Source organism: Homo sapiens, chromosome 17 (genome assembly GCF_000001405.40).
Source record: "Homo sapiens chromosome 17, GRCh38.p14 Primary Assembly".
In the NCBI taxonomy this organism is placed as follows: domain Eukaryota; kingdom Metazoa; phylum Chordata; class Mammalia; order Primates; family Hominidae; genus Homo; species Homo sapiens.
Window position 1 is genome coordinate 41618848 of NC_000017.11, and position 22163 is coordinate 41641010.

The 22163-nt window shown below is 57.6% G+C and overlaps 1 protein-coding gene and 1 pseudogene across 2 annotated transcripts; both read right to left on the minus strand.

The window, feature by feature from the left end:
* On the minus strand, positions 595-5728 carry KRT17 (keratin 17). The gene is made up of 8 exons (NM_000422.3): positions 5231-5728; positions 4103-4185; positions 3508-3664; positions 2746-2907; positions 2119-2244; positions 1812-2032; positions 1689-1711; positions 595-841 (listed from the first exon to the last, which is right to left on the minus strand). The coding sequence occupies exons 1-8, from the start codon at positions 5660-5662 to the stop codon at positions 747-749; spliced, it is 1299 nt and encodes a 432-aa protein (NP_000413.1). The 5' UTR covers positions 5663-5728; the 3' UTR covers positions 595-746.
* On the minus strand, positions 7480-21352 carry KRT42P (keratin 42, pseudogene; annotated as a pseudogene). Its single transcript, NR_033415.1, has 11 exons — positions 20472-21352; positions 19840-19867; positions 16446-16555; positions 15689-15786; positions 11572-11783; positions 10229-10390; positions 9508-9622; positions 9040-9259; positions 8233-8915; positions 7943-7992; positions 7480-7784 (listed from the first exon to the last, which is right to left on the minus strand). The product of NR_033415.1 is annotated as a keratin 42, pseudogene (transcript).

Sequence of the window (22163 nt, forward strand, 5' to 3'; positions counted from 1 at the left end):
CCAGGGCGGAGGCAATGGGGGCCTCTCTTGGGGATTTCCTGAGACTCACACAGGAGTCTGGGCCCCAACCACCCAGCCTGCCTCCCCCACCCACCCTCCCTTTGTGCTTATCCCAGCCCTTGCCCACCTCCTGCCCCATCTAGGGGTAGGGCACGGCCCACAGGACCGGGAGGAACAACTGATTGAGTGAGTCATCTCTGAGGATTCAGGCTCCCACACCTGAGATCTTCCCATCCGTTTATGGATGAGAAAGCAAGGCTCAGTGAGGGGAAGTGACTGCCTAACTTCTCGAGGTCACAGAGCTACTCACAGGGCAAGCAGTGGCCACCTAGGACCGCACCTGATACACCAACTCCACCCCAGGTCTAGCGCAGCCTGGACCACCCCCTGAAAATCTCCAGCCCTTGGGAGAGGCAAGCACCCCCTTCCAAACTCTCCCCAGACTTACTCTTTATGCCGGTCTAAGCTGACCCCTGACCTGCCAATCAACAACGGTGGGTCTCCAAGCACCATCTCCCCTCACCCTCACTCCTTCCCATTTCACCCTTTTGTCCCTAGTCCCCACTTCAGGGGCCAGAACAAGGACACATTTCATAGCTGAGTCAACAAGCTTTATTGTCATCAGGCAAGGAAGCATGGGGAAGGGACTGAAGCAGGGGGCTGAGGCTGGAGAGGCCGGAGACTGTGGGGCAGATGGGGCGGCTGCCTCCCTGCCTCCTGGGTGGCCGGCCGGGGTAGCTGAGTCCTCAGCGGGTGGTCTGGTGGACCTGCTCGCGGGAGGAGATGACCTTGCCATCCTGGACCTCTTCCACAATGGTACGCACCTGACGGGTGGTCACCGCTGCAGGAGAAGCAGGCAATTTAAAGTGGGTAGGGGCCAGGAGGCCCTCGCTTGCCCCCTAGCCCTCATGGACAGGAGCCGGCTCTCTCCCTCATCCTCCCCCAGGTGCTGTGAGTGCCTCCACTGGCACCTCGACATCACACTGCACACACATCCCTCCTGTCCCTGCCACCACCTCCCTTCCATCCCATCCCTCTGCCGGTGGCCCTGTGTGAGTCTTGCCTCCCCAGATGGGTTATTTGATTCTGATCCAGTGTGTCCTGCCAGGGAGGAGCCATGTAGACTCCATGAAATCCGTCTCCATTTCTCTGCAGTCTCTAGGACATAGATTTTCTACCATCTCCCCCATCAGACTGGGATCGCCAAGACAAAAACCAGGCCCCTATCTCCTCCATTAGACTAGGAACCCTAAGGCTAGGATCATATATTCTCCATCAGATTGGAATTTGGAGGACAAGGACCATGTCCCTATCTCCCATCAGGCTACAGACCCCAGAGACAGGACTGTTTTTGCTCATCCAAAAGCTGTCAAGAGCAAAGATCATGAGACCATGTTCCTATCTTCCCATCAGATGACAATCTCCAGAGCTGGGACCTGTCTCCTCCATCAGACTAGGATCTCCAAGGTAAGGACCAGTTCCCTGCCCCACCCCCATCAGACCAGACAGTGTCTCTCTCATTTGATCTTTTCCTGAGTATCAATCCTCAGTGCTAATGAGTCACTTCTCCCTGCTGAGGGACAGCCATCAACTCCTGGAGCTCCTGGGGACCCTGCCCCAGCAACGTGCAGGTGGGCTGCCTGTCCCATGCACCCAACCCCCAGGGCCGAAGCCACGCAGATACTTACGTTCTTTCTTGTACTGAGTCAGGCTGAAAGAAAAAAAAAAACAGAGAGGAAATTAGATGTGGGTCTGAGAGCCCCACCCCTGCCAAGAGACCCCCAGCCCTGACCCCAGGCGCCCCCACTCACTGGGCATCCTCTCCCTCCAGCAGGCGGCGGTAGGTGGCAATCTCCTGCTCCAGCCGCGTCTTCACATCCAGCAGGATTTTGTATTCCTGGTTCTGCTGCTCCATCTCGCAGCGAAGCTGGGCCAGCTGCTCCTCCACGCTGCCAATCAGCCCCTGGATCTGGGACAGCTGCACGCAGTAGCGGTTCTCTGTCTCCGCCAGGTTGCCCTCCAGGGATGCTTTCTGCAGGAGGGCAGGAAGACCAGGGGTCAGTGAGGATGGTCAATGCCCTCTTCTGGGCCCTCCCCCATGCACAGGACTGTTCCTACCATGCTGAGCTGGGACTGCAGCTCTATCTCCAAGGCCTGCATGGTGCGCCGGAGCTCCGAGATCTCACTCTTGCCACTCTGCACCAGCTCACTGTTGGTGGCCACCTCGCGGTTCAGTTCCTCTGTCTGCAGACAGGACACAGGACAGGGCGGTGTGAGCCTGGATCCCTCTCCCAAGTCAGGCCTCCTCCCAAATCTAACTGTGGAGAGAGTGTGCCTTCTCACCAGCTTCCCACATCCCAAAGCCCAGAAACATGCCATTTGAAATGTTAACTTTTTATGGTTAATCCCAGCGTGTGGGAGGCACAGACCGGAAACTTGAGAACAAGCCAGAACATGTAGCCTGGCTCTTGATGCTAGTTCCTGACTTCTTGAGGGAGACGTGGGGACTCCCAAGGTCTTTACCCTCTGCCTTTATTCTGAGGGAGCTCCCTACCTCCCCACCCACCCGCCAGATCCCAGCTTGAGCTCAGCTCCATGTCTGTTGATGCAGTGGGTGACCCTGTGGTCCATGCAGCTTACTGAGGAGGGGCACCTCCAAGACATCTGGCCGTGGGCTTACTGTCAGTGCTAAGGCCCCTGAGCCCCAGCCCCTAAGAGAGCCCTCTGGCCTGCAGCACCCCCCACCTTGCTGAAGAACCAATCCTCGGCATCCTTGCGGTTCTTCTCTGCCATCTTCTCATACTGGTCACGCATCTCGTTGAGGATGCGGCTCAGGTCCACGCCTGGGGCAGCGTCCATCTCCACATTGATCTCACCACCCACCTGGCCTCGCAGGGCGTTCATCTCCTATGGAAAAAGGGGATGTGGATGTGCGCATCTGGACCCATCCTGACCTCTCACTCCCAAGCCTTCCCCCACAAGGGGACCCCACTTCCCACAAGGACCCCTCCTTTGTTCTCCCTCTGCTCTATCTGACCCTCTAAATGATTTTTATTCATCTGCTCAGTATTGCCTCCACCATCAGACTCTATCTCCCCCATTAGACCAAGGACTCTCCAAAATAAAATCTAATTATTAGGCCTATGCCCCCAAAAGTTCCCCTCTAATTTCCAAGCTTCTATGTAGATGTTCAGCTTTGAGAGTTTGAAATGGGACAAGATTTCCTTACTTATCCCCCACCCTCATGAGGGAGGCAGGGTAGGTAGAGGGAGCCTCTGCAGGCCCCTGGGAGGTTCCTTGTGTACAGAGAAGCAGTGTGGTACAAAGAGGAGTCTGCCCTGCACACTGGACCCCAAGGATCAGGGCTCTGCAGACAGGGAAGCCCTCTAAGGTGACTAATCCCGGTGCACCTGCTCTGCTCTCTCCCACGGCCTCAGCCATTGCCCAGCCCCAGGGCTCTGCCACCCACTCCTCAGCATCTTTGACCTTCTGCCCCAGCCACCTCACCTCCTCGTGGTTCTTCTTCAGGTAGGCCAGCTCCTCCTTGAGGTTCTCAATCTGCATCTCCAGGTCGGCTCTGGCCAGGGTCAGCTCATCCAGCACCCTGCGCAGGCCATTGATGTCGGCCTCCACACTCAGGCGCAGGGCCTGCTCTGTCTCAAACCTGCCGTGGGAATCAGAGACTTCAGCCCAGGCTGCTTGGACCTGCAGATCCAGGTCCTGGCTGCTCACCTGCCTTCATTTTGCCAGGACTCTAAGGAGTTGGAAGGGCTGATGAGAGGGTCGAGTGGAAACGAATTCCAGCCCCGGGACCCCGGGACCATCACAGGGCCAGATCCCACGCCCACCAGCTTCCTTACTTCTCTCTGCCTCCCGCCTCCCGCCTCCCCTCCTTCTCTTCTATTCCCTGCCTAAGCTCAGCAACCTTCAGAACTGGCTGCCTTCACTGCATCCTGGACTAAGGAGTGGGGCTCCTAGGACTGCCCCACCCTGAGCTCCTGGGCCTTGCCACAAGCAACCAAGGAATCCTGGGGTCAGGAGGGGTACCCTGAGATCCTCCGCCAGCTGGCCCAGGCTGCCCAAGGCCACAGCTAGGACTCACTTGGTGCGGAAGTCATCAGCAGCCAGACGGGCATTGTCAATCTGTAGCAGGATGTTGGCATTGTCCACGGTGGCTGTGAGGATCTGAGGAGAAGGGAGAGTAGTCAGGTCATTGGATGGGGGTGGCTGAGCCCACACCAGGGTTCTGAGCAGATCTTCCTGCCTCAGGGCCTCTCTTCTCGCCCAGCCCCTCCCTTGCCCCGTGCTGTATTATTGGCAGAGGAGGGGCAAACAGGAGTCTGAAGGGCTGAAAGGTGCCTCTTCTTCCCCCGATACTCAGTACCCCACCAGACCCCCATGGCAGGCTCGGCCTTAAAGGAGAAGAGACAGCTGGCTGGGAGTATGAGGCAACCAGAAAAGAATGGGAAAATGTCCCCAGGGCAGAAGCTGTCCCAGAATTCTAGAACAAGGGAGGGGATGTGGGCAACCCCCTCGTTTTACAGTCAGCTAGAGGGTGCCCCTGACAGGCTCCCCCAAAAGGAGGCTAAAGGAGCCCTCATTAAAGAGTGGTTCCAAATCAAAAGTCAGGACCCCTCCTAATCCCTAACCCTGGGCGCCAGCCAGCAGCCCCGCCCCCTGGGGTTTGCTGAGCCCGTCTTAAGGGACAGCAGGAGGAAAGGAGAAGCCAGAAAAATCCCCAAATAAGGCACATCAGAGGCCTTCCCCACACTGAGGTCCCGCCCCCTCCTTTCTGCCTCCTCCTGCAGCAGGTGCTATCAGGAGCTCACTCAGACACCCCCACTCCACATCACCCAAAACCCCCTCCTGTTGACCCCTGCTCCAAAGGAGCAAGACACCACACATCCAGCAGCCCACGGGCCCAGCCCTCCATCTGCATCCTCCTGCCTCATCCTACAACCTCTCCAGGTGGCGGAGCTCCACGAGGGAGAAACTGAGGCTCCAAGGGGCTCCACAAGGCCTCTTTGTTCCTGACTCAGCTTGCTGTCCCCAGAAAAGGGGGATGTGAGCCACACAGGGGCCCCAAGGCAGGTTCCCAGAAGCTAAGCCACAGCCAAACCACCCTTGGCTCCCTGAGACCCTATGGCTGGACTCCAGGCCTTTGGCCAAGGCAGGAGTTGGGGGGAAGAAGTCATGCCCCCCGGAGACCCCTCCCACCAGCAGGCCCTACCTTGTTCTGCAGCTCCTCAATTGTCCTGTAGTACTGGCTGTAGTCACGGGCGGGCCCCGGGGCCTGCCTCTGGTACCAGTCACGGATCTTCACCTCCAGCTCAGTGTTGGCCTCCTCCAGGGCACGCACCTTGTCCAGGTAGGAGGCCAGGCGGTCATTGAGGTTCTGCATGGTGGCCTTCTCACCTCCAGCCAGCAGCCCATCAACACCCCCAAAGCTGCTGCCATAGCCACCACCAGAGCCAAAGCTGTAGCAGCTGGAGTAGCTGCTACCCCCGAGGGTGCTGCCCAGGCCGCCAGCAGATCCCAGCCTGCAGGAGCCGGCACCCAGGCCGCCAGACAGCCGGCAGGAGGTGCGGGACGAGCCGCCCCCCAGGCCGGAGGAGCCCTTGATGGAGCTGGAGGAGGTGAACTGGCGGATGGAGGTGGTCATGGTGGCGGCGGCAGGAGGCAGGCACACAGGAGAAGGGCTGGAGAGGAGAGGGGCCCCAAGTTGTGTAGGGCTGCCGGGGTTCGCCCGCTTCCTTTATAGGCCACCAAGTGGGCGTAGCGATTACAACAGGCTTGCTCCTCTGTTTCCATTCCCCTGGGCTTTCATCACCACTGGCCACCTGCCAGCTCCCAGGTGGCTGGGGGCCCCCTCCCCGCCCATCATCAGGAATTTGCCTCATTTCTCCAAATCCTCGTGCTGAGTGCCGTGCGTGTGCGTGCCTCTGGTCTCAGGCCCGTCACCTGTGATTCAGGCGGGCCCTCCAGCTATGCTTTCCCATGACCTAATACGGAGAAGAGGAGAAGGCAGGACGTCACCGTCCCCAGGCCCTCCCAGGCAGCCACCACCCCAGCCTGGCCCGCCTCAACCCTGTCTGGTGGGGAAATGGGTTGCAGTGTCAGCTGACCCCCCCGCCAAAGTTGCTGTCTTTCACCCCACACTGCTCCACCCACGGTGCTGGCCCCGGGGCTGGGTGCTGAAGAGAAAGAGGAGACCGAGAGCCTATCCTGCCTTGGAAACTGAGCCCAAACCCACCAGGCCCACCTCACAGCATAGAAATGCCATCAAGCCTCGGAGACCAACCCACATCACAGATAAAGAAATTGGGGCTCCAGAGGGGTGCCGTGTCCACACTGGCCCCTTCTGCAGAGCCTGACACCCAGGAATGCACTCTAGGGGCTACAGTTCCATCCAGTCAGCTTCTGACCCTGCCCCATCCCTAGAAATCCTTGCTAACCCAGTCTCTTCGTGTAAACCTTTCCCCAGGTTTACACTCCAGGCTGGGGTGGGCAAACAGGGGCTCAGCTATAGGATGGGGAAATGGTGGGCTGTGCCAACTGAGAGGGGGATGCCCCCTTCCACTCCCCTCACCCTTCTGTACCCCAAGAGACCTCAGGGTCAGGTGACGGGTATTTATCTCAGGTCTCAGCCCACAGGAAACCTAAAGGACATTGCCCAAGAAGAGGCTCTTACAGAGACCCCAGCCAGCCCCCTTCCCACTCCAGGCTCCCCAAGATGTGGCTCCTCAGGTGGGCCATGTGCCCCACCCCACAGCCCCACCCTGCCCTGCCCACCACCCCAAGCCCGGCCCTGGGTCCCAGGGTCCCGCCAGGCCCGCTGGGTGGAATGTGGTCATGTTTCAGACTGCCGATGGCTTCCACTTCCCAGACAGGCCCAGACGGCCCCGCCAGCAGCCGAGAGACATTCCTCAATAGCCCAGTGGCTGCCAAGCCACCAAAGCAAACAGGATGCCCCCTACGCGTACACGCACAGCGGCCACCCCGCCCCACACACACCCCGAGCTGGGGCAGAGCCGGTCTGGTTTCCTGGGCTGGCTGCGTCACTGCCATGCCCTCTCACTCATCAATGCCATGGACCACTCCTTCAGAAGCCCCTCCCCACCAAGCCCCTCTCCTTCTGCTCTTGAACCCGCCCTGGGCTGAGGCAGGGAGTGCTCCCCAACAGGCACCATCCTTGGAAAGTCTGTGTGGCCCTCCCAGGGACCAGCCACAGGTGACAGGGACTCAGGGGCTGATTCTTAGAAACTTTTCCCAATACAAGGGGCTGTCCCATCCCTCCACCCTTAATCTTTCCGCCTCCTCCCCTCTCATCTTTCCAGGAGCCCCAGGCCTGGATGGAGTGGGCAGAACAGATTGGCAGGTGACAAGCCCATACCCAAACACTCAATAAACTCCACCTCCCCCAGTCCCTCAGCCCACACTGCCCCAAACCAATGAGCAGATCAGATCACACGAGGCATTGAACTTGGAGCAAAGCTTTAATAGTAGGCACTGGACAAACCCAGGAGGCCTCCTCAGTGAGGGGCTGCAGAAAGTAGATACAGAAAGACAACAGGCCATGCACCGGGGCCCAGACGGACACTCGGGGCGTGGCAGTAGCATGCTGGGAGCTGGAGCTGATGGCTGTGCCGTGGCCCTCGAGGTGGGGCTGTCGCAGACAGAAAGGGGTCTCAGTGGGTGGAGAAGTGGACCTGCTCACAGAAGAAGACCACCTCTCCAACCTGGACTTCCTCCACGATGGCACACCTGGTGGCTGGTCACTGTGGCTGCAGGCGATGGAGGAGGGAGGCACAGGGAACATCAGGCAGGAGCTCTTCCCCCCGCCTGCCCCCGCGTCTGTGGTCCCCCCAGTCTCCCACACAGAAGGGTCCTCAGCCTCTCCCCTGCCTTGGGGTCCACACCGCAGGACAGGGCAGCTTCTTACCTTCCCGGGTGGGCTGCGAGGCCAGGGACAAGGAGTACTGAGTGGCCAGCCTGCAGGGAGAGAAGCACCCATCAGCCCAGGGATGCCAGCCAGCCCAGGCACCTGCAAGCACTGCTGGGGAGAAGTAGGCCCTGGCAGAGGAGGTTCCCCTAAATTGGTGAAAAATCACAGTTGGGAATGCACAGAAATTAGCGCAGGCCCAAGAATGAAAGGGCAGGGGTTCAGCACAGCAGGAAGAAGAAAAAGAAACAGCACAGCAGTAGGTCTGGCGGCACTCTGTGGCTACTCACCAGGAATTTACAAGGAGAAGCTGAGCAAGTGGTTTTTCCATAACCCAGAGGGCCCAACAAATAGACCCAATTAAAGCAGGAGAGACTGTTGTTAGACTATAGATGGACTTCACCATTTCCGGGGAGCAAAAAGCTGCAACGTGTGACTAAGCATGGAGACTCCGGGACACTCTCAGCTGAAGGCCTGATCACCCTTCCCAACTGCAAACCCAACCACCACCCACCTTGCTCTTCACCACTCACACAGTCATCAGAACCAGAAACCCAGGGCCATCAATGCCTGCTCCTTCATGTGTTCTCCCGACACTTACTGAGTCCTGACTGTGAGCCATGCTTACCCCGAGATCCAGGCATCCAGTCCCGCTGTTTTGAGCTATAACCTCTCTTCTGCGTGCACCACCTTCCTTCCCCTGCCCCACTACCCACCACCGCACGGGACTTCTCTGGCCAGACTCCCTGCTCCAGCCCCCTGACACATCTCTCTGGCCCCGCCCTGACCCCTCTGATCCATTTCTCCCTCTGCAGCCAGAGTGAATGTTCTAAAATCTCTTGATGTTCATTTCACTCTCCTGCTCCAAATCCCTCCATGGCTCCCCATTGCCTACGTGATCTAGTCCAGACGCTTTAACTTGGCATTCAAGGCTCCTCAGCCAGACTCCAGCCTGCATCGTCAGTATCACCTCCTGCAAACCCCAACAGGTTCCGACATTCACACCTCCTGAATTTCGCTGGTGCTCAGACACCAACTTCTCCCTGGGTGAAGCGGGCCCCCAGCCCACCCCAACAGGCACCCTGGTACACACTCACTGGGCGTCCTCAACCTCCAGCAAGCGGCGGTAGGTGGCGATCTCCTGCTCCAGCCACGTCTTCACGTCCAGAAGGACCTGTGCTTGTGGTCCTGGTGCTCCGTGTCGCAGCAGAGCTCGCACAGCTGCTGCTCCATGCTTCTGTTAAGCCCCTGCAGCTGGGCCGGCAGGGTCCTGTAACACACCTCCATCTCCACCAGGCTGCCCTCCAGCGATGCTTTCTGTGGGCCAAGAGATAGGTGGTGTGATGAGCTGGACCTGGGACCCTTCCCCATGGCAGAGCACTAGAGAGGAGCCCCTCCTGTATGGGGCTGTGGGTGCTGCCAGCACAATGAGGTGGTAGTGCACCCAGCCACTGAGTGTGAAGGGACAGGCTGGGTGGGGACTCTGGTTCCCCAAGCAGGGGTCTACAAGGCTGGGCTCACCCTGGGGTGACAGGTACAGGGTGGGGAGGGGACAGAGACCCTACCTTGCTGAGCTGGGACGGCTCAGGTTCTGCACAGAGACGTAGAGCTCCATATCTCTATCCAGCCACTCTGCAGGGCCTCTGTGTTGGTGGCCACCTCGCAGTTCAGCCCCTCTTTCTGGAAGGCAGAGTGGGCCACAGGGGTTTATGGAGACTTTCAGAAGCGGGGCACAGGAAAGGGCTGCTCCTGAACCCTCACCTCCCAGAACCATCCCCTAGCCCCTCCCTGGCCTCTATGGGGCCCCAAAGGCACCTGCACACAGAGAGCCTCTGCACCCACATTGGAACTTGGAGGAATTCAGCCTGCTCTGCGGTCATTTGCATTTCTTTTTCCTACTGAACTGCAGCACCTCAAAGACAGGCACTGGGTGTTATTCTTTTGCGCCTGTTGCTGTCCCTAGGATACCGGAGATACTCAGCCTGTGCTTGCCAAGGGTATACATATGTATTCAAATACGCACATCCTGTAAACAGCTGTGGTGGAAACCCAAGACCAGACTTGTAGAGACCTGGATCTATTTTGCAGGCCACAGTGAAGGGCTGTGTGAGCTTGAGTCCTCTCTGAGCCTCACGTTTTACATCTAAAACATGAGGGGCTGGTCCAACTGGTTTCCAAAAGTCCTTCCAACTGGGACAGCCTGTGGATCTGCCAGTGCTCCAGCTGCACCAGCATGCAGCACATGTGCCCACACGTGTACACACCTGCTTACGCACGGCCACCCACCATGCTGAAGAACCAGCCCTCGGCATCCTTGCAGCTCTTCTCCACCAATGTCTTGTCCTGGTCACGCATCTCATTCAGGATGCAGCTCAGGTTCACTCCAGGCACAGTGTCCATCTTCACACTGACATCCTCATCCACCTGACCTCAAAGGACGTTCATTTCCTGGGCAGAGAGGACAGCAGAAGCTCACCCAAGGCCATCCTGGAGAAAGACCCTGGGGCCTGCCTTCTTTCCCTCGGAGAGACAGGTACAGATGACAGACAGACAGACACAGATAGGCCAACAGCTCCTCACCCTGAAGGTGGAGGTGGATGTTGTCATTTCTCAAACATACAGGGCTGTGAATATTAGCAACCTCCCCCAACACACACCGTGACGCGGGACTGGAATTCACCCATCCCCAACAAGTGCTAAGCCCCGAGAGATGACAACCCCCCAGCACGGTGGAGGATGACCACGGGCGACCTCACTCACTGCCCTGACCTTGCCCCCACCACTGCCTTGCCCCCACCACCAAGCCCACAGCACAGGCATGCAGAAAGCAACCCTACGCTGTGTCACTGCGCCAGGCCCCGTTAGCAAATGTTAATCTGCTGGAGGAAAGCAATTGTATAACCAGCCTCAAAGCCAGGGGGAAACACCTTCCGGGTGTCCTGCTTCTCGGGGAGTAGGCTCCCCCAGCTCAGAGCAGCACAGAGCTCGGCTGAGAAGGAAGACACAGGACAGGGCATGTAAGGCCTCCTGACTGCCCCACAGGACCTTGGATCTCTATCCTTGGGTTGAGCTTTGGAGTCCCTGCGACCTAGAGCCTTCTGGAAAGGAGAGGCAGGAGAGGGGGCAGAGAGGTGGGGTGGATACGAGTCCAACAGACCTGAAGGAGGGTCCCTGTGCAGCCATAGATAAATCCCTTAACCTCTCTGAGCCTCCGTTTCTTCAAAGGTCAAAAGGAAGTAAGAGTATCTTTCTCCCAGCTGTTGTATCAGCTGAGATAATGGCTGTGAGTCACTTGTAGTGCTGGGCAGAAGTTCCTTGTTTTAATGACTATCACTATTATAATTAATTATAACAAGCATTGTGTTAATTATAACTAGCATTGTGTGTTCTTAAACTGAGTTACTCATTAGTTAGTTAACTGCAGTGAGCTGAGCCTCAAGGGACAAATGAAGTCTATTTGGGACGAGGGGCTCCTCCAGGCCTCACGCAGTGTCCTCTGAGGGTCAGGGCTAGTCATCCATAAAAGACGGGAACTGGACTGAAAGCACAGCCCAGCCCAGGGAGGTTCTGGGCCCCAGCCTCGCTTGCTTCCAGGTGAATTTCTGCTGCGTTCCCTGAGCTGACCTCACCTGCTTGTGGTTCTTCTTCAGGTAGACCAGGTCCTCCTTGAGGTTCTCAATCTGCATCTCCAGGTTGGCCCCGGCCAGGGTCAGCTTGTCCAGCCCCTGGGGCAGCTCCAGAGACCCAGCCTCACTTGGTGCAGAGGTCATCGGCAGCCAGGTGGGCATCATCCACCTGTAGCCAGCACGAAGCTGGAATTACCGACCACAGCCACCAGGATCTGGGAGAGACGGGGTCTCCATGAGAAAATGCCCTTGGCAGCCTCCAGGAGACCCTCCAACACCCTTCTTGCAGGCTTTTCGGAAGTGAGCCAGGGTGAGGGTGATGAGAGTCCCCATGGTCTTCTCTGAGCACCCCCCTGGGAACTTCTGGGGAGCCAGGGTGAGGGTGATGAGAGTCCCCGTGGTCTTCTCTGAGCACCCTCCTGGGAATTTCTGGGGAGCCAGGGTGAGGGTGATGAGAGTCCCCGTGGTCTTCTCTGAGCACCCTCCTGGGAATTTCTGGGGAGCCAGGGTGAGGGTGATGAGAGTCCCCGTGGTCTTCTCTGAGCACCCTCCTGGGAATTTCTGGGGAGCCAGGGTGAGGGTGATGAGAGTCCCCGTGGTCTTCTCTGAGCACCCTCCTGGGAATTTCTGGGACCCAGCCAAGGCCCTCAGGGGGTTAAAGGATGATGGGGGTAGGATGCCCAGGCATGGGTAAACATGGATGCCAGGAGAGAGACCCTTATGCAGCTGTCTCCCACCATGGGGGTCATGGCCTAAGCTGCCTAGGCCTCACTCCCTCTTCCCCAACTAAATTCACCTCTAGGCTCAGCTGCCACCTCCTCCAGAAAGCCCTCTTGGATTCCCTTTCTGCGTCTCTTTTCCAGATCATACCTCCTCCCTTCTCCAGGTTGTGAATTTATACCTATTTCTATGACTTTTTTGGTTATTTCCTCCTCCACTGGACTCTGAGCTCCAGGGAGACAAGGCCATGTCTGTTTCATTCTCTTTGGAATCCCCAGCCCTGGGCACAGTGCCCTGGCCCAGAGTTGGCCCCAAGGGTTCGTTAGTTTAATTAAGTGATTTGTTAATTAATTAATGAGGTTATGACTGGCCTCACCTCAAACCCAGGGCAAAGCTTTCTTTTCCCACAAGGTCATCTGGGCGGTTCCAATGCAAACACGGAGGGAGGGGCCCAGAAGGAGCAGAAGGTTGGTTGTGATTACTGCCGCTGTCATTGGCATGGTTGGAAATGCCCAAGAGGGTTTCCAATTGAGGCCATGGGCATGCACCAAAGAGTGAGGCCCCTCCAGCCACCCAGAGGTTGAAACACTTGTGAAGGCGGCACATGAGCGTGTAGAATCTGGAATTTGCTGAGGCTCAGGGCTGACTGCACATGACCTTAGAGGGATAAGCCCCAGGACACCCTAGTAGACCCTGCAGGCTCATCCTGTGCACCCCCTCCCCAAGACCCCACTCGAGGCCCTAAGTTCTGTGAAGTGACCCTGGGTCAAGCTGAGCTGAGGGCCAGTTTGTTCCCAGCACCCCCTCCTCTGCCTCAGTGGGCCCATCTGCATCCGGCAGAGACCCACCCAGCCCCCATCTCCTTGCTCGGGAGGCTTTGGGGGCACAGCGAGGGTCGGCTGTGAAAACACGGAGAGAATGCGTGTAGGGTGACTCGAGGCACAGCCCTGGTGCGTGCTGCGCGGCGGGGTTGGTGATGAGGTGCTGGCTGATCCCGAAGATCAGGAGCACTGACTCACCAGGGCTCCCCTGGGTTCCCCGCTGCCAGAACCAACCCCAATATCTGATCTGGCACTGCCAGTATTTCTGCTTCCAAGGGGAGATTGCAGGAATTCCCGCCTAGTGGAGGTCCCGGGCAGGAGCAGACAAAGCCCCTCGTAGGCAGCACCAGGCCTGGCTCTCCACCCAGGAAACTGAGCAGGCCTAACCACCAGGGCCAGCTGGGCCTAACCTGACTCCCGCCTGCCTCCCCTGGCTCCCCTGGCCCCCCTGGCCACCATACTCATCACTTGCACTCCTCACCTGCCACTGGTGGCTTTGCTCTGTAGGACCCTCCAGGGCAGGGTTTGTGCAGAAGACAAAGTGGCCATGTTTACAGAATGCCAAAGCCATGTTCTTAGAGGTCATGAGAGAGAGTGTGTGTGTATGTGTGTGTGTGTGTGGTGTGTGATGTGTGTGTGGTGTGTGGTGTGTGATGTGTGTGGTGTTTATGTGTATGTAGTATGTGTGTATGTGGTGTGTGTGGTGTGTGGTATGCATGTGGTGTGGTGTATATGTGTGTGTGGTGTGTATGTGTGTGTGAGATCTGTGTGTATTGTGTGTGTGGTGTGTATATGCGTGTGGTGTGTGTGGTGTGTGGTACATGGGTGGTTGTGGGTATATATGTGTATGGTGTGTGTGTAGTGTGTATGTGTGTGGTGCGTGTGGAATATGTGTGGCATGTGTGGTGTGGGGTGTGTGTGTGGTGTCTGTGTGTATGTGTATGTGTGTGTGGTGTGTGTGGTGAGTGTGTGTGTGATGTATCTATGGTGTGTATGGTGAGTATGTGTGTGGTGTGTGTGGTGTTTGTGTATGTGTGTGATGTGTTTGGAGTGTGTGTGTGGTGTTTGCGTGTGTCTGTGATGTATATGTGGTGTGTGCGTGATGTGTGTGTGGCGTGTATGTGTGTATGTGTATGGTCTGTGTGGTGTTTGTGTGTGTATATGTGTGTGATGTGTGTGTGCTGTGTGTCTCTGATGTGTGTGGTGTGTGTGTGGTGTGTGTGCGTGTACGTGCGCGTGTATGTGTGGTGTGTGTGGTGTGTATGTGTGTGATGTTTGTGTAGTGTGTGATGTGTATGAGTGTGTGTGTGGTGTGTGGTATGTTTGGGTGGGTGTGTATATGTGTTGGAGAGGGTGTGGGGGGTTTGGGGGGGTGTGTGACTAATATGTGTGGAGGGGGTGTTGGGGGTGTGGTGGGTATATGTGTAGGTGTGTGGTATGTGTGTGTGTATGTAGTATGTGTGTATGTGGATGTGCCTGTGAGCTATGTGTGAATGTGTATATAGGAGTCTTTTAGTGTGTGTGTATCGATCGGTGGGCATGCGCCTGTGTGTGAATCTGGGAGTGTGAGGTGTGAGTGGGGCGCGTGGCGTTTGGGGTAGTGTGTGATGTGTATGGTGTGTGGTGTTTGTGTGTGTGTACGTGTGTGCTGTGTGTGGTGTGTGTGTGGTGTTTCTGTGTGTGTATGTGTGTGATGTGTGTGGGGTGTGTGTGGTGTTTGTGTGTGTACGTGTGTGGTGTGTGTGTGGTGTTTGTGTGTATGTGTGTGATGGTGTGTGTGGTGTGTGTGGTGTTTGTGTGTGTGTATGTGTGTGTGTGGTTGTGTGTGGTGTTTGTGTGTATGTGTGTGCTGTGTGTGTGGTCAGTAAGGTTCTGCATGGTCTTTTCACCGCCCCCGCAGCAGGGCATCCGCCACGTCAACGCTGGAGCCAAAGCCCCCACCCAGGTTACAGGTGTAGCCACCGCTGTAGCCTCCCCCAAGTCCCACCAAGAAGCAGGAGGAGGTGACCGACATGTTGCCACAGCTGCTGACTCCCAGGAGGCTGGCGAAAGGCACCCCCAACACTGACAGATGACATCCAGGAGAAACCCCCGCCAGGTGTCCACAGGCCCTTGACAGAGCCAGAGGTGGAGAACTGGCAGATGCTGGTAGTGGTGACAACCAGGGTGTCCATGGGTCGGGTGAAGAGTCTGGTCTGGATGGAGACCCTGGGTAGCCCGTTACAGCCGGGCTGAAGTGGGGCTGGGACCCTGGCCCTTGAAGTTCAGGCCAAAACCCCAGGAGTGTATTTTGCCTCCTCCCACCCACCCAGGGCCTGGGGCTCAGGCTGGACATATTGAGAGCCTCCCCAAGGACCCCTCCATAGCAAGAGCCCAGCCTGAGCACCAGGGCCTCAGCGGTCTGTTCAGACACAAAGGTGGTGGCCAGGCACGGTGGCTCACGCCTGTAATCCCAGCACTTTGAGAGGCAGAGGCAGGTGAACCACCTGAGGTCAGGAGTTTGAGACCAGACTGGCCAACATAGCAAAACCCCATCTCTACTAAAAATACAAAAATTAGCTGGGCGTGGTGTCACGAACCTGTAATCCCAGCTACTCAGGAGGCTGAGGCAGGAGAATAGCTTGAACCTGGGAGGTGGAGGTTGCAGTGAGCCGAGATCACACCATTGCACTCCAGCCTGGGCAACAAGAGTAAAAATCTGTCTCAAAAAAGAAAGAAAGAAACAAAGGTGGTGCTGGTCTGTAGCCCTGGGGTAGGGTGACCCTCCATCCTCAGCCACAGTTAGGAGGCTGAGCTTATTCTTGTGGGGAGCCCGGAGAACCCAGCCCTGGGAGCCAGCACGGGCACAGGACAAGGCTGCACAGGCCAGGAGCCGGAGGCTGGCCTGGCCCCTCACCCAGCATTCCAGGGCCCTGGGGTAAGGGTGGAGAGATCGGGGCCTGACATCATTGCCCAGGTACAACGTGGCCCTGGTGGAGACTCCCAGTCAGAGGAGGCAGAATTAGCCTCTGACCTGTGGGAGCCCCACTCTCTTGGGATTCTTCCAAGTCCGCGGGGAGATACAGCCCACAGGTTCAAGGATCCCTGTGTCTGAGGGAAATAGACGTGGCCGCTGAACTGAGGGAGCTTTGGATCCAAGCCTTTCAGGAAGTCAGTTCTAGAGCCTCCGTTCCCTCGTTTGTAAAAGGGGGACCAAGTCTTGTCTCCCAAAGTCTTTGAGGGAATCTGGAGAGATAATGACGTCAGTAAGGCTCTAACAAAACAGGAAGCAGAGGTGGGGCTGGGAGCAGGGGTCTGAGGCCAAAGGGTTAGGGCAGCCTCCCTCCTCACCCGAACCTGAGCAATGTCAGTCCAGAGCAGTCCCGGAGGAGGGGAGGGCAGCCCAGGAAGGCCACAGAGGAGCAGGATCTGTGCAGGAGCCAGCGTCATGCCCCGAGGAACGGCCCCTGCAAAAGAGCAGCATGATCCGCAGGCTGGTGGCTGGCACCGCTCCACCCAACAAGGAGATTAGTATCCTAATCTCCGCGGCACTAATGATTTAGGTGCTGCCAGGACACCGGCGTCTGCACCAGGCCTGTCTGAATGTGGAGCTTCCCAGGGCAGCCAGGGCCCGCGGAACAGGAGAGGGGAGAGAAGTGCATGGGTGGCCTGGGCTCTCTGCCCGCATACGGGGACAGGGAGGGAGTTGGGTTTTCCATGTGGCCCAGAGCTCCCAGATGAGACCACACTGCTGGAAAGACTTCCTGCTCAGATAGTGGGTGGTCTCTCACGGAAAGTGCCAGCTGGGGACTGTGCCAGCTGGGAATGGCAGGAGCTATCTGGAAGAGAGCGGTTGAGCCCTGATTTTACTGCTCCCGCCCAGCCTGTGAAGGTGCTGGGCGGGGATGGGGGGAGGTTCAAAACCAAGGCTAGAGAGCAAGGTCAGACCACCATGAGCACGAGGTTAGACATCTGGAAGGACTTCCTGGCAATCCAGGACTGTCTTCGGGGAGGAGAGAGACCCAGTAAAACCCGTGCTCACCTGAGCCGCCAGAGTCAAGACTGCACCAGCAGGCACTCACACACGAAGAGACACGAAACCAAGACCCTCCCCATCCCCATCCTCTCCTAACAACCCCTCCCTTCCCAGGCCCCATCCTCCCCTAGGCCAGCTGGGCTACCCAGGTGGGCCTCACTCTGGGCTCACAAAAGGGACTGCCCCGCCTTCCAGCAGCAAATGTGGGGCAAAGCCAGGGCCCTAGGGAGGGGGCCAGGTCGTGGGGTGCCACCACCCCTCTGCCTCCCCGTAGAGCCCACACCGCCAGTGCTCACCCTGCCTGGGAACCCCACTTCCAGAGTACCCAGACCTTAGTCTTGAGGCCCAATTTGAAGGAGCAGAGAGTTTATTACTCTTCTTTCTGCCTCTAAAATCACCAAGGCCTCCAACCCCCAATACCACCATTTAGCCCCCACAAGCTTCCTCACCCCTGACAGGCTTTGGGCCGCGAGCCTGCTCCTCTTCCTCTCTGGGCCTCAGTTTCCCCACGCCACTGACCCCCCCCCCAGGCCCCTTTGCTACTGCTCGTTAGAGGCTCTACTGCCTGTGAATCCCCCTCTAGCCCCCAACCCAGAGAAGCCTCACATGCTGAGGACAGGCCGGGCCAGCTGGGCCAGCCGGGCAGGAGGGCACAGCTCAGATCTCAGCAGAGATAGAAGTGGGACCCCAGGAAGGCCTCCCTGGCCCTCCAGAGCGTGGGGCCACTCCCTGGCCAGGGCTAGGAAAATGCAAACATTCCTCCTGAGACCCTCACAACAGTGCCTTGAGGACACCAAGACACAGGGTGCTTGAGCAGCGGGCAGTCGGGCAACCCAATGTTGGCATCAGAGCCGGGCCTGAAGCCAGGGCCTCGGCAGCTCCCACTCTCCCAGCCAGGGAGGAAGGCTTGACAGGGGCCGGCTGGAGGGCCACACAGAGGTCCTCTGGGCTGTGGCACATCCTGTCTGGGCCTGTCCTCCACCCCCAGCAGGGAGAGATCCCTGGCACCCGCAAGGGGCAGCCCAGGCCTGCAGCCCCGGCAGCGGCAGCAGCTTGGCCCCCATGGAAGACAAAGGGGTAAAGAAGGAGAGGTCCAATGGCTCTTCCAGCCCCAGAGGCTGCTGGAGCCCAGCGCAGGTGGGAGAGGGGGAGGCCCAGGGAGGTGGCTGGGAGAACTTGAAGCTTCCCCCAGTGCCCTGGGTGCCAGCCCCACCTTGACTCCCCCTCAGTCTCCTCTGCAGAGAGTGCAGAAAAGCCAGCATGCTGGAGAGCGCAGCACAGACAGGACCTGCCTGGAATTTGAGCAGAGCTAGGGTTTGGGGACAGTGTCCCCTAATATCACCCCTACTATGTTGTGGGGAGGCAGAGGGCGTAGAATGATCTGGGGCCCTATGGAAAGGAGATGTTCAATAGATGCATTTTTTTTTACTTTAAATAGAGATGGGGTCTCACTATATTACCCAGGCTGGTCTCAGGCTCCTGGGCTCAAGCAGTCCTCCTGCCTCTGCCTCCCAAAGTGCTGGGATTATAGGAGTGAGTCACCACGCCCAGCCAATAGATGCATATTGATATTGACAAGGTTGACAAGGTCTGGACAGGATCAGTGGCTCACACCTGTAATCCCAACACTTTGGGAGGCCGAGGCAGGCAGATCACTTGAGGTCAGGAATTTGAGACCAGCCTGGCCAACATGGTGAAACCCCGACTCTACTGAAAATACAAAAATAAGCCAGGCGTGGTAGTACCTGTAATCCCAGGTAGTCAGGAGGCTGAGGCAGGAGAATCGCTTGAACCCGGGAGGTGGAGGTTGCAGTGAGCTGAGATCGTCCCACAGCCCTCCAGCCTGGGCAACAGAGCGAGGCTCCATCTCAAAAAAACAAAAGAAAAAACAAAAAGACAAGGTCATGCCCCGTCTGCCCAGCTGGCCTTGGCTCCTACGAGCCCCCGCAAGGATTAACTGTCAACCCTTAGGATGGTGCCCACCCCATACCCCACACCCCTGCCCAGAACCAGCGCGGGCTGTATGCAGCAGGTGCTCTGTGAGTGCTTGCTGAATTGTTAGGGTCATGGAGCCTGAGCAGTGACTGGGGAGGAGACAAGGTCCCAGGAAAGGGACATGGCCACCTACCCTTCCCCTCAAGGAAAAGGGTCAGTATCAGGTGGTCAGGGAAAGTGAGAGGCCCTGGAGCCCAGAACGGGCTCCCAGCTGAGACCTTGGCTTCGCTGATGAGGAGAGAACCCCAGAGACCCTCATTCCACCCCTAGTCCCCTGTCACTAAGACCCACTGGGGTCCTTTCCATTCACCCCTCAGACACAGAGCCCCTGTCACCTGCAGGGCCCTTGGAGGTCACAGATCTCCTGCCCCTCGCTCACCCCCAGGCACTCCCACCCCTGGCCCAGCATCGCCTGAGAAGTGCACCCTCACCCAGCCACACCTGCCGCCTCCACAGGTGGAATCCTGCTTCCTCTATTCTGTTTCCTGCCTCTATCCTGAGGCCCCAGGCGGCCCCACCCAGATCCTCCCACCCTCCACCTTCCCAGGGCCCTGGGAGATTCGGAACATTGCTGGGTGCCCTGAGCCTCTGCCCCAGTTTGAAGAGACAGAGGTAAGGGGATCCCCCAGCACCCCCTGTATACCCAGGGCTTGGCCAGGGGCTCCCCTACCCAGGGGTAAGTGGACCCAGCCTTTCTTCCCCTCTGCACCCCTCACTCACCTCTGACTGGTTTCCAGGAACTGTCAGCCTGTGGCGGATCCAAGACGTAGGATACGGACACCCAGGAACACCCCACCCTTCCAGGCAGCACATCAGCTGTCCAGGGGCCCTTCCCAAAAGAGGGCCTAGAGGACTGAATGCCTCGGATGAGGCCCAGGGCGGGAGGACAGAGCAAGGGAGGGAGGGAGGGAAGGCTGGGGACCAGTGGGAATGAGTGGGGAGGACATCACGGACAGGAAACCCAGGCCTCGGGGGTCACCCGTGGGACACCTCACTGCCTCTCACAGGGTGAAGACTCCTGTGAGAGGAGTCTTGACCAGACGGCTTCGTCCCTCTGTCCTTCCCTCTGTCTTTCCCTCCCTCTGCCCTTCCCTCCCTCTTTTTCCTCCCTCTTTTCACTTCCCCCACCGCTTCCTTGGCCTGAGAGATGCATAGGGGTGAGTGAGAGGCAGAAACTCCAGTGGGTTCCCCTTTCAGGCTCACACCCCCTCTCCACTCTGCCCTGCAGCCTGGCTGAGGGCAACCTGAGGGCCTGGGGAAATGGGAGTCAGAGACACCAAGGGGACTCCAGGCTCCTTCCCACCCTGCAGACCCCAAACCCCCAGCTGCACCTCCCTCCCCGACCCAGCTACCAGCTCGCTCCTCCCTCCCTGCGCCCTGGGGAGGCTGGTTTCTCCCTGTTGATGAGCGCTCATTCGCGCCTGCTCTGCAATGCTCTTGAGTGGCTTTCTCCAGGGGCAGATGAGGCCAGGCTCCCCAAAACAGAGACTGTGTCTCTTCCCTTAAATTGGACACTTCCTCAAGGTAGCAGCCATGTCTCCCCCTCAGATTGGGGGCTCCCTTGACATAGGAGCTCTTTCTCCCTGATGTGAAGGGGGTCTCTCAACTCCTTGTCCTGGTGTTGACCACCCAGCCCACCACAGTGTGACACACCTGACTGACCAACAAGGGAGGAGAAGCAGGGCAGGGAGCACTGAGGGAGGAGGACCAGGGCAGGGAGGACTGCTGGAGGAGGAAGAGGGGACGGAGGACTAGGTAGGTAAGACCAGCGGAAGGAGGACCAGGGGAAGGGCATGAGGAGAGGGAGGACTAGGGTAGGAAGACCAGGGGAAAGAGGACCAGGGGAGGAGGACTGGGGGAGGGAGGACCAGCAGAGGAAGGGCTATGGGAGAAGAACCAAGGGAGAGAGGACTAGGGGAGGGAGGACCAGGGAACGAGGACCAGAGCAAGCCATCATCTATCCTTTCCAAGGGCAAAACAGGAGAACAGGGCAGGAGCATTCCTTTGCAGAGGCCTGGGCTCCATGGAGTGTTCTGCCTGAGCCCCAGCCCGCCATACAGGCCTGCTTCCTCCATCCAGGAAGCTGAGCTGCCCTCCAGCCAGCCAGGAGCAAGCTCCCTCCACTAAACTCCTGCAGCACTGTGGTCCCTGCCATCTCTGCCTCAGAACCCAGGGTCCCTGGGAGCCTTGTTATTGAGTGTTTCTGGTTGACGCACTTTTTTCAGCAAAGTTTCATGGAGAGGGACCAGAGTTTCTAATCTTCACAACCACAGGGTCAGGCATTGTGTTAGCTATGATCACACTCTATGATGTCATGCAAAGAGCTCCAAGTCCAAGAACCTGGGGTCAAATCTGGACTCTTGCCCAACTTGGGCAAGTCATTTTTCTTCTTTTAGGCTCAAACCCTCCTCCTCTGCAGAATGAAAGGACTAGACTTTTTTTTTTTTTTTTGAGACGGAGTTTCACTCTTGTTGCCCAGGCTGGAGTGCAATGGCTTGATCTCGGCTCACTGCAACCTCCGCCTCCTGGGTTCAAGCGACTCTCCTGCCTCAGTCTCCAGAGTAGCTGGGATTACAAGTGCCCACCACCGCGCCCAGCTAATTTTTTCTATTTTTAGTAGAGACTGGGTTTCACCATGTTGGCCAGGCTGGTCTCAAACTCCTGACCTCAGGCGATCCACCCACCTCAGCCTCCCAAAGTGCTGGGATTATGGGTGTGAGCCACCAAGCCCAGCCAGGACTAGACTTTTGTAACAAACTCTTCATGAGATTAAATGAGTCAATATGTAGCTGTCACAGGCCTTGTAGTAACTAGTGATTCAATAAAGCTTCGGTGACTCCAAAAGCTGGCTGGGCAAAGCCTCCCTGCCATGAGAAGTCATCCTGCCCTGCCTGTGGTAGGCAGAATAATAAACCCCAAATATGCTGGGTGCGATGGCTCAAGCCTGTAATCTCAGCACTTTGGGAGGCCGAGGTGGGCAGATCACGAGGTCAGGAGATGGAGACCATCCTGGCTAACACAGTGAAACCCTGTCTCTACTAAAA